The 12,140-nt window shown below is 38.6% G+C and overlaps 1 protein-coding gene across 40 annotated transcripts in view; it reads left to right on the forward strand.

Annotated features, from left to right (window-relative positions):
* The window catches only part of CNTN4 (contactin 4), a 959,094-nt gene that overhangs the window by 800,313 nt on the left and 146,641 nt on the right, over window positions 1-12,140 (forward strand). For all 40 annotated transcript variants that reach the window (XM_017005783.2, NM_001350095.2, XM_047447536.1 and 37 more), the window contains 2 exons: window positions 1,507-1,643; window positions 3,698-3,827. In XM_017005783.2, coding sequence (XP_016861272.1) covers window positions 1,507-1,643; window positions 3,698-3,827 — 267 coding nt within the window. The remainder of the gene's footprint in view (window positions 1-1,506; window positions 1,644-3,697; window positions 3,828-12,140) is intronic.

Consider the following 12,140-nt stretch of genomic DNA (forward strand, 5'->3'; position numbering starts at 1 on the left):
TCTGCTGGTTAAGTGATTTGTTGAGTGTCTTTCTAGTTTTGTTTATTATTGAAAAGGTGAAATACAGTTTGGCCTCAACAGTAGCAATTTCCTTTTGAATTAAAATTATGGATGATTTGAAACATTGTTGAGTGAAGATACTGAGGTCAAGTCAGCTGGAAGAGATGTTAAGAATAATGAGTAGCATCTCCTAATTAAATACTGATATCAACTTTGATTATTAGGTTTACCTTGGTAGGCATTACCCTGTAGAAATGCCCTGTGAACACATAAAGTTCCAGAATGACAGCTATGGTTATCTTCTGCATGACTTTGGGCTGAAGGTCTTCTACCTGAATATGTTTATCATTATTCTTAATGGCATGAATTGTGCTTGAGGCAAGATTTGATATTTATGAAGACTTTTTATGGAACATGGAATTAACATTGTCTTTATATCTATTGAAAATAAGGAAAGAAAATGTGACTTCAATGAAGTACAGAAAATGTATTATCATTTGGGCAGCGGGGGTAGTGGATAGCAGTGGGCAATGTGGGAATTAAGTGCTACTTTGAATTCTTGTGTTAGACTGTGGGCAGGACTTGATTTCCTGAGGAGGTTTGATAAAAATCAGAACTCATTTAAAGATTTGGGGTTCTAGGGTCATATTCCTGTAGATAACATTCTATCAATACGAAATCAATAATAAACAATGATGATAGTCTTAAAGGAGAAAGGAATCATAAAATTGATCTATACAACATGTGGGAGTGAAGTATATTAGTGAGGGACAAGCTAAGCTATTCTCACAAAGGAGGCCCCAAAATAAAGTAGCTTAGATGAAAAGTTTATTTCTCTCTCACATTATTTTCCTCAAAAATGGCAGGTGGATGTGGAGCTGCTTTGCTCCACACAGTCATTCATGGTCCAAGGCTGACAGGTCAGCATTTTCATCCTATGTAGCTTCCATGTCTGCACCCAAGGCTATTTCAATTGCTGGTCTTTTCCAATCAGTGTGAAGGGAAAAAGAAGAGGTTACGGAAAATATCTTTAAGTGAATAACCCAGAAGTTGCTCTCACCACTTTCACACACATACAGTTGGCATGAACTTGGTTACATAGTTACCTCTAGCTGCAAAGCAATCTGGCAAATGTAGTGCCTACCTGGAAATATACCAGCCTGGTTAAAAGTGGGAGGGGGGGTGATGGGAAGATATTCTCTACTGAAAGGAAAAAAGGAATAATAGATACTTACAGGAGAGGGACAGTTAATTTTGCCATATGGATATTGGTAGTTTTATCCATTTTGCATTTAGCGATTAAAAGACTACAATATGAACCACAAAAATGGTATTCAGAGTAGGGTATAGGCACCTCCCTGAATGTCTCCCCAGTCTTGTTATTTGCATAACATCTGGAAAAGGAATTTTATTATAAGTGTACTTTTGCCCTTTGATTGAATATGATAAAAATAGATTGAGTACACACTGAATATACACCTTTCTTTGCTTTTTGGATGCCTATAGCTCAACCTAATTGGATTCAAAAAATAAATGATATTCACGTGGCCATGGAAGAAAATGTCTTTTGGGAATGTAAAGCAAATGGAAGGCCTAAGCCTACATACAAGTGGCTAAAAAATGGCGAACCTCTGCTAACTCGGGTAAGCAAGTTAATGGTAATTGTGCCTTAGTCTTGACTATAACGTTTAATATAGCCTCATTGCCGTGGAAACGGGAGAATGGTGAATTGTTTCTAAAATAATATGCAATGAAACAGCATTATGGTGGAAAAAGTGAGAGTGAATGCAATTGATAAATAGAAAGTGCACTTAAATCCAGTTCTCCAGCTTTCAATTAAGCTCTTGCACTAGATCTGTGGTCTTCAAAGATTAACATATGTGACTTTATAATGGGAAAGTTATGCAAAAGGTCTGGAACATGAAATTGTGCTAAGATACAAAGGAACATACATTCCAGCATCCACTACAAGAGAAGGGGCATTGACACAATACAGGATATCCATCTAAATAGAGAAACACTCTGACAAAGAAATCTGAATGAAGCAGGGGTAGAGCGGAGACCCTGAGAATGAGGAACAATTGTGTCCAATTTAATTTTCCTTATGTATTTTCCTGCCGAACCTCAAATATTAATTGAAATTTGACATTTTCCTCAGGCTCCAAATTGAGAGGCAGTCTTTCATGCTCAGATTTCTTCCTCCAGTAGGCCACCCAGAAAAGAGTGCCTGCTCGGAGCAATGGCCCTCACATGAATTTACATGACAGGAAGAGAAAGGGGACTGTTTTGCCTAACTCACCCCCTGCCTCATGCACCTTCTCCATTTGCTGGAAGGGCTCCAGCTTGTCCATGATTCTGTCAATTATAAAAGCCAAACTCAGACAAATTGCAGGGGTATAGGTACCTAGGTACTGGTATTTTCCTTCTTTTGTGTAATTGTTACCAAAATGCCAGGGAGTTGGTCTAGGTCCTGTTGCTTGCTGTGCAGAGAGCCAATCACTGAGAGAGTGAGTATTGCCAGGAAATAAGGCTTTGTTCAGGTGCTTTAGTCAAAGAGAATGGGAGATCAGTCTCAAATCCATCTCTCCAACCAACTAAAATTGGGAGTTTATGTAGCTGGGGAAGGGATGCAGCTGTGTGCAGGAAGGAATTAGGTGGGGGTACAGAGGCAATTATGACAGATGAAGGGTCTGGTGTCTCACTGTCTGGATGCCATGATCTAGTGAATTTGAGTCCCTTGCTTGAGGATCAGCCTCCTGAGGAGTGAACTCAGTGAGACCAATGTAAGTTTCAAGTTTTAAAACTAGGCAGGTCAATTTCTGGGTTTATTCAAAAACAGGTAATTATCATTTCTGTGGGACACTTGGGCTTGTTTCTTAATGTGAGGGAACATGAATATCTAGATTTGATCAAAGTCTAATAAAGTGTCCACTCAGCTAACTCACAACCCTGCGGCAAACAGAAAACTAGTACCTCTTTATATATATGTAGAATGGCAGGTCTCCTGGAGAGGAGGAGATCCTTTTTGATACTTATGAAAATTGACACATAAGTTGTATATCCTCAGAGTGACAAATAAGGAGGATCTCCTGTGCCACGTACTAACTTTGCCCCCTTCAGATTGGCCGCCACCAGATGGTCCTCAGCTTAAATCACACCACTGACAGCAATAAACTAAGGGAATATTAAACTATTAATACCTACATTTTTTAGTAAACCTCAACCAATATTAAATATTTGCCTCTGTTTCATCCAAGATTGTAATCCTATTAACCTTCAAAGTATCACCTGCTCAAAATGTGAGTGTTTTAAGCACTCTAAACAGTAAATTTAGTTTTATTTCCGAAACCCCCTAACTCTGGTCAGTACAAAGCCTTAAAGTGAAAAAGCATTTTAAGTTTCAAGTTATTCTATTTAGAGAGGATATTAATCTGAATGGCTCCACTATTAAATCAATGAGAACTCAAGAGAATCCTACAATTTAAATTCCATTTACCAACTGATGTACTGGTTGTTCCATTTAGCATCTGACCTGCTACAAATTTAGCTGACAGATAAATAGATCATGTTATGTAAATTGCTTATATGATGGCTGTTTTCTTCCCATTAAGCTTCCTTGATATTACACATGGTAAAATTGCCTTAAAGTCTCAGTTGTAGAAGGTCATTGTTTTTATGTTCCTCTTTTCTTTCACAGGATAGAATTCAAATTGAGCAAGGAACACTCAACATAACAATAGTGAACCTCTCAGATGCTGGCATGTATCAGTGTTTGGCAGAGAATAAACATGGAGTTATCTTTTCCAACGCAGAGCTTAGTGTTATAGGTGAGTCTTTATACTGGCAAGAAAAAAAAATTAAAACTCTTTAGATCACTAAACTAACTTGTTCTTTGCCAAGCATAAATGTTCAATCCAAGAAAAGGAGTAAAGAAATCTTTAGGCCAAAGATGCTACTCAAGAAACAAGTAATAAGCAAGTCTATAAACAATAACAAGAGAACGCTTTCTAAATCCGCCTCTTCTGATGCTTACAATGGGGACCATGCTTCCCTTGGCACTCATTTTTATTCCTCTATTGACTGCACTTCTAAATTGAGCAAAGTTTTTGAGATGCTTTTTGGAGTCTGCTGCTGATTTGGTGCAAACTTGAGCTTGGAGGGAATAAGAGCTGACTTGGTTTGGAAAGGCTTATTTGAACAGCTGACAGAATAAACCCTGCTCTTCCACATCTGAATTTTTCCAGACTGTGCATTAATGATCTTTCTTCCAACTACATGTTTGATCGTGTGCCACTTCCTCCCTCCTCTTCAGCTGCATTGACCTTTCTGTTCTGCATACTCACCATCCTCCCGTCCTCTGCAGGCCACTGGTACATACTGAGTGCATCGTCTGCCTGAAACGCTTTTCCTTCCCCTCTTCATTTCTGTAACTCCTTCTCAGTTCGCATCTTCCATCTTCATTGGTGCTTCCTCAGAAAGTCATGCTTGGGTCAACTATTCCTATTACAGATTTTTATACTATCTTTTACCTCTCCTTTATGAAAGATGCCACAGTTACAGTTTACACTTTTTTTTGTGATCTTTCTATCTTTTTCTTCCACTGCATTTTAACCTCCCCGTGACGTCAAGGATCATAATTGGTTCAATTCATCATTTTATTCCCAGGACTTAATACAGTATTGAAGCACATAGTATGCACTCAATAAACATTGAATGAATGTAAGAATGAATGAGTGTGTTAAATGAAGGAAGAAATTGAGAGATTATTTTATTAAATGGATTAATAGATTAGGTCAGTAAAGAATCGAAAACATAGTTGAGTGAAAAGATAAATCTATGGACGTTAAAAAAAAAAGTTAAGACCAACAGCTTGCATTATCCTGTAGAAAAATTTTGAATTTGTCTATTATTATAAAAGAAGAGATGATAATGACAACTGAAAACACAAAAACAAATGCAAATGATTTGGGAACTGCCTCCTATTTTAGAGGCTTTCAGTAGTCATTCTCCTTGGTGAGAGCATAATGGAAGACTATGAATAAGAGAAAAACAGCACACAAAGGAGCTAATTCACGTGCTCTGATAAATTGTCCAGTTTCAGAGTCCTGACTTTCCCTTATGAAAAACATTCATTGGTGCCTAGCATGTAAATCTTGCATATAGAAGTAAATGTTCTCAAGTAGAATGTACTTCCATTCTGTGCAATGTAAAAAAATAAAAAGAAAGAAAAACTTCCACACTGCTCTTCTCACTAAGTTCGTTAGCACTGACTCAAATCCTATCAAAGATAACGATTGTGAGATTTCATGGGGATGGAGCCTTTTTCAAAGAGGCCTAGTAATGGTTTTATGCTCTTGGCATAGATAGCATCAGCATGGCTAGGCCTACTGGAATCCTAAACACACATACTTCTCACCCTATAAATATTAGGAACAATAATTTTCAACCCCTTCCAGGACACATATGATGATTCCCTTCTGCCCGGATTTGCTAACTATTGGTACTTGGAACTGAGTCTTTTGGAGTACAGTTCACCATGGCAGGATTGCTTAGGAGTTTATTCCAAAACAAGTGTGTTCTCTACTCTACTCTATATCAGCTAGTTGGAAGAACAGCTAAAAGTGAGATGTGGCCTAATGAAATGAATCATAGTGTCTGAAAACCCTCTATATGAGCGCTAGCCAATTTATCAGTCTAGGGACCCTTTTATAATTTTAAGAGATTTTGTAGATCCCTTTATTAAAATAAGAAAATTTGATAGAAACAAATGACTCCAACAAAGTGAGAAAAGCTGCTTAATGATTTATATCTAGAGTGCCTACCCATAGCTGAAAATAACAGAATATATGTGTATGCGTATGTGTACGCATAATGGCTTAAAACCACTCTGCACAGCCCTCCCCTCTCTCCCTCTAGTACTAGGATTCAAGGCCTGTTAGCTGGGAATCACTGTTCCAACTTTTACATTAAGGAGTTTATTTAAAAATCATTTCCAATTGGAACTGTCTAATTACAAATGAATTTTTGATCTGAGCTCTTAAGTTTCCCGACGCCAGCAAACTAGAAGTGTTAGTCTGTTTAAGCTGCTATAACAAAAATACTGCAAACATGGTGGCTTATAGACAACAAATGTTTATTTCTGATAGTTCTGGAAGCTGAAAGTTTGAGACCAGGGTGCCAGCATGGCCGGGTTCCGGTGAAGTCCCCCTTCTGGGTTGCAGACTGCCAACCTCTCACTGTGTTTGCACATGGCAGAAGGGGTGAGGGTCTCTTGGGCCTCTTTTATAAGGGCACTAATCCCATTCATAAGGTGCTTCACCCTTATGAAGGGCTTCACCTCATAGGGGCTTCACCTCTTAAAGGTCCTGCCTCTTAGTACCATCACCTTAGCGGTTAGGATTTCAACATAGGAATTTTGGAGGGACACAAACATTCAGACTATAGCAGTAGAGCAGTCAAGATAAAATGAAAATGCCTGAGAAATTATTTAACCATGTTTCACATAAGAACAATAAAGGCATGTCATCAAATTATTTAGGCCAAACAAGTTGTAAAAATGTAAGGCTTGCAGGAATTCAGGAAAGGGAATTTGGCTAGGGGGCTGGGCTGGAAAGCTAAGCCCTGAACAATTTAGATTTTGACAAACACAAAGAATAGTCCAGATCAGAATGAAATGGCTGGAACAAAGGCTCAAAATTATAAAATATCTGGGATAGTTTCCTGCACATAGAGAATCTTCAGTGCTTTTTAAAGCTGTTGACTCCTCAGTGGATGAATGGGCAAACAACATTTGGTATATGTGAACACAGTAGAATACTATGTAGCCATAAAGAAAAGGAGAAAATCCTGTCATTTGTGACAAAAGGGATGAACCTGGAGGACATCGTGCTGTGTGAAATAAGTCAGGCACAGAAAAATATCACATGATCTCACTCATAAGTAGAATCTGAAAAAGTTTATCTCAAAGAAATAGAGTAGAATGCTGGTTGTCAGGGTCGGGGGAATCGGCGGGGGAGGGTTGGGAAGATGTCGTTCAAAGAATACAACACTTCAGTTAGATGGGACAAATACATTCAAGCACTCTATTGTATAACACGATGATTATAGTTAATAACAAGATATCGTACTCTCAAAAAATGCTGAGGGAGCGGATGTTAAGTGTTTCACCACAAAAATGATAATTATATAAGGTAATTTATGTTAACTAGCTGGATTTAATCATTCTACAACGTATATAAATACTTCAAAACATGTTGTATGTAATAGATACAATTGTGTCTGTCAATCTAAAAAGTAAAATAATAAAAAAAATAAAAATTTTGATTCAAATACATAAAGCATATATCGGAAAATTTAAACTTGAAAAAGAAAGATGGTGGCCGGGCACGGTGGCTCACAGCTGTAATCCCAGCACTTTGGGAGGCCGAGGCAGGCGGATCACCTGAGGTTGGGAGATCGAGCCCAGCCTAGCCAAAATGGTGAAACCCCATATCTACTAAAAATATATATATATAAATTAGCCGAGCATGGTGGCGCATGCCTGTAATCCCAGCTACTCGGGAGGCTGAGGCAGGAGAATCACTTAGACCCGGGAGACAGAGGTTGCAGTGAGCCAAGATCGTGTCATTGCACTCCGGCCTGGGCAACAAGAGTGAAACTCCTTCTCAAAAAAAAAAAAAAAGAAAAAGAGAAAAGAAAAAGAAAGATGGAGAAGTCATTAAGGACCAATTTTGGAGATTCTTGAATGACAAGCTTGCAAGTTCCCTATTTAATATCCCATTTTCCCTTCCAAAAATTCCCAGTAATATATTTCAGGTAAATTGAAGGGCAGTTAAAGATTGAGTGTGTAAACCCGTAGAGTCTCTCTTAAGTGAATAAGGGAGAAGACATCTGCCTATTTAAAGATACATAGAAATTAATATTGGTTAACTTGGGTAAGACATAATATGATTGTTTTCCACAAGTCACTTTGTTCCTTATATAGCAGGAATAGTTTGGCTCTTTTGGATCAAATAACTAAATTGTCATTACCTATGCTAGAATCATGAGGATGCTGAATTGAACAAAGAAACAAAATGGAAACAAGATAATCTCTTGTTAAGATTATCTCTTGGCCGGGTGTAGTGGCTCACGCCTGTAATCCCAGCACTTTGGGAAGTCAAGGTGGGTGGATCACCTGAGGTCAGGAGTTCCAGAACAGCCTGGCCACCATGGCAAAACCCCATCTCTACTAAAAATACAAAAATCAGCTGGACATGGTGGTGCATGCTTGTCGTCCCAGCTATCTGGGAGGCTGAGGCAGGAGAATCACTTGAACCCGGGAGGCAAAGGTTGCAGTCAGCTAAGATTGCACCACTGCACTCCAGCCTGGGTGACAGAGTGAGACTGTCTCAAAAAAAAAAAAAAATTATCTCTTGATAATCTGTATAAGAAAGAAAAAATATATATGTTGGTTCCACCTATTGATTAAATATCAGGAACCTCCAATGCTATAGAGGAGATTCCTTTTAATGTTGGGTGATAGCCCTACGGTCATGAATAAGAGATGGTTAGGAAGCATATATTTAATAGGTTTTTCCCTTGGTTTTATTTTATGTGTTCTGTCTTGGTATTTAATGTGTATGTAACATGTCTATTTAATGGATTTAAACTGCTAAATAATTAATCTGTGTGCTGGGTGATTTACTCACTGGATGGGCAAACGCCATAGAGAGACTTTTATCTTGAGGTCAGTATATTGGTAGGCCTGGTTATGAGTACATCAAATGGAAGTGTCCTTGTCTGTGACTGAACTATGACAATTGGCAGTTTATTTTTTTCCCAAGGCAACTCCTCCTAGATCTTTTCTGCTGTCTTAGCCTGAGTCATGGATGAGATTCACTTGTGGGATATATCCCTGTGGACATCCCTGAGGTGCTGTACAACTCCCTGGGTGATAACCATCATTCCACTCCTCTCCCCCACTCATGAAGGTGTATTACAATTAGAGTAAATAGAGTCTTGTAATCATGGGGAAACTGAATCTTCTATACGTAACTTAAAAAGTAAAGATAACTAAGTTAGGTATTTTGTTGGTGAAAAAATAACTTTTCTAAAGTAATAGTTCTACCCATGTTTAGTATTTGTGTCCACTCAGATGATCATATTGGCGATGGGGACTGCTGATTAAATTGCCAAACTTGAAATCATTGGGTAAATATAGAGGATAGCTAAGGTCTCCAAAGCAAGTCTGAGGCAAGTATTCAGGTATCTGCAATTCACTGAAAGAGTGTTCTCCAGGAAAAACCTGTAAGGAAAAGCAGAATAAGGAAGAAGGAGGAACCAAACAAGGATGGGGTCTTAGGTAAAGTCTAGCCTAAGTCTAATCCAGAAGGGAGATTTCTGGAACATAAACTGTACCTCAGACCCATTTCCACCTTGAGATAATGAGGCTAGCTTTTTAAAAAATCTCCATGTTAATCACTTCCTAAGCTACCTCTTAAGTGGGGTTCCAGAAGTGGTGGGGGTCAAAAATCTTTGATTTTGCTTATATATGTGAGAATATTGTGAAAAAAGTTTTTTGATTTTACAGTGGGAGGAGCCATCCCTAAGGGTGAGTGGGTATCTGCCCAGTGGTCTTTTGAATATGACTTGACTTTTCCAGGACTGTATAATGGAGGAGAAGTAGCTTCTATCCTGAGGAAATTATGTCTAATGGTTCAGTATCCCGGGGGTTCTCCTGGCCTGTGTGGTGGAACACATCTGACCCTGGCAGGACACTCAAATACCATCAAGTAACTGATGGCCCAATTAAAGTGAGGTGCAACCTTGAGCGATTATCTGGTTAATTTGGCATCTACCCAGGTGATTGGCTCCCAAATTAGAAAAACATTAAGGCTAAACTAAAAGTTATTTCATAGGGACTTTCACAAGTGCTCATCTGCATCTGATTTCTCAACTGCCTCGTTGAGCCAGGTTACAAAATAATCAGATGTGCTGAGTGTGATCAGCATCGAATGAGAGGACACATGCCTTTCTTACCCAACTGCAGTCATCCAGGCAAGAGCTTTACTTAAGTTGTCATGAAGAGGGGAGCTGTGCACTTGGCTCTCAAAAGCAAATTTGGTGTCTTTATCAAGTTATTGATCATATACGTACCAGTAGTAGGAGGATGTCATTACTCATCTTACTGTGAAAACTGACAGAATTACACGTGAAAGCCTTTGCAAACCTAAAGGTGTTTATAACAATATAAGAAGGTTTGGGCTTTTTTTTTTTTCTCTTAGTATCCATACCAAACACTTAGAGATAGCCATGAAATCACCAGTAAATCCCAGTTCTGTGCTTCTCAATTTTTGCTGCAGATTACAATCATCTGGGGAACTCTTTACTATCCTGATGGCATACCATACTCGTTATCAACTAATTCAGTCTCTGATCCTAGGACCCAGGCATTTTTCCTTAAAGCTCCCCAGGTGTGATTCCGAAGAACAACAGAATTTGAGAACTATTGCTTTAATTGATCAGGTTTAAAAAGCCATTGAATTTTCCTAAAATATTGATTATCAGGCTTTATCGTGCATCACAGTAATCTAGAGGACATGTTAATACACAGATTGCTGAACTCTACCCTGAGAATTTCTGATATAGTAGCTCTAGAGTGGGGCCTGGGAATTTATATTTCTAACAAGTGATGTTGATGCTGATGCTGCTTATCCAAGACCACCGTTTGAGAACCACTATCCTAAAATAGGAAATCTGTCCTACACAGAGGGCTTTTGTTGTTGTTTTTAAAAATTGAACATAGTCTCCCTACCAAAACATCTGATTTTGGATCAAAAAGCACTCTGAATCCGAAGTACCCCTGTATGAGAGAAAGAGCAGGCATCAGAGATTCCAACCATGGCTGAAGGCCCCATTTCAACAAGAGAGTGAATAGGAATAAAGCACACAGAATGTCTTGACAGACTACCATGTGAGGCTTGAGCTAAAGTGCTGCATGGCATGACTCTGGTAGTTAAAGCCAACTGAGGGGAGACATTGAAAGCTGATAAATATTATGATAAATATTATGATCATCCCTTACATCAATTCCCCCAAAGAAATGCAGTGAGTCAGAGTTTAAAATATTACTCTAGAATGCAGCCTAAGGCATCACTGAGCATTAATACTTTATATACAATCCTATAACCAAAATATCTGAATCTTCTGTAAAACTGCTGTGAAGAGATGATCCATCTTGAAGTCCTTAGTCCTTTTCATAAAAATATTTCCAATAAATTTCTCATAAAATGTAGAACTTCTCTCTTAAAAGAAGAAAAGTTTGCATCTTCTAGTAAAGAGGCAAAGTTTTTCATCAGTCAGTAAGAAATATGTTATTTTTCTCTTTGCCCAGTCTGGGATTAATTTAACTCTATTGTATTAATTCTAGTGAGATTGTTTTCTACCCTTCCCCTGTTTGAATTGAGTCATATTGTAAATGTATTTACTACTTTATGTCTTTTACCATTATCTACCCCAAGTTCTTTGAATTTGTGAATGAATAAATAAATGAAGTAACTATTTTTCCCCCTCCACCACCTTCTGGCAAAATTGATTGCATTTGGGGAGCCTAATCTAAGGAGTATTAATTAGACTGACATTCAAGATTTGGTAGTGGGGGGTGATTCATCAAGATAGTCAAAAGGGAAGCCCCAGACCCTTTTTCCCCAATGGACCAGTTGCCATTGAAAGAAATAAAACCAGTTAAGAGATTTCTGCACTCCAGTCAAGTGTAAAGCCAATAGCATTAAAGCACTGTAGAAAAATTTATGGCACTCGCTTGCTGGAGCACCTCCCACTCCCCACAGCGTAGCACAGAGCTATCAGTAGAAAACTTCCAATTCCTAATTTCTTGCTGGGGAGGGAAAGAAAAGAGTGGAAGGTATATCCAGTGTTTTTACTTTTGAGGGGGAAGTACTACCTAAGGGAGTGGTTTCCGTTTTGCCTGAATCTAAGTGATGACAGAAACTGGGCTATGTGGGAGGCCCCCTGAGAACAAAGTCTTATCAACATGGCTTGGTCTGGTATCAGGCTGTACCACAGACACTAGGGGAGGTCCAGTACCAACAGAGGGAAATTTAATGCTTCCTGCAGCACTAGAAAGTCCACAGTACCTGATA

The sequence above is a fragment of the Homo sapiens genome, chromosome 3, assembly GCF_000001405.40.
Source record: "Homo sapiens chromosome 3, GRCh38.p14 Primary Assembly".
In the NCBI taxonomy this organism is placed as follows: domain Eukaryota; kingdom Metazoa; phylum Chordata; class Mammalia; order Primates; family Hominidae; genus Homo; species Homo sapiens.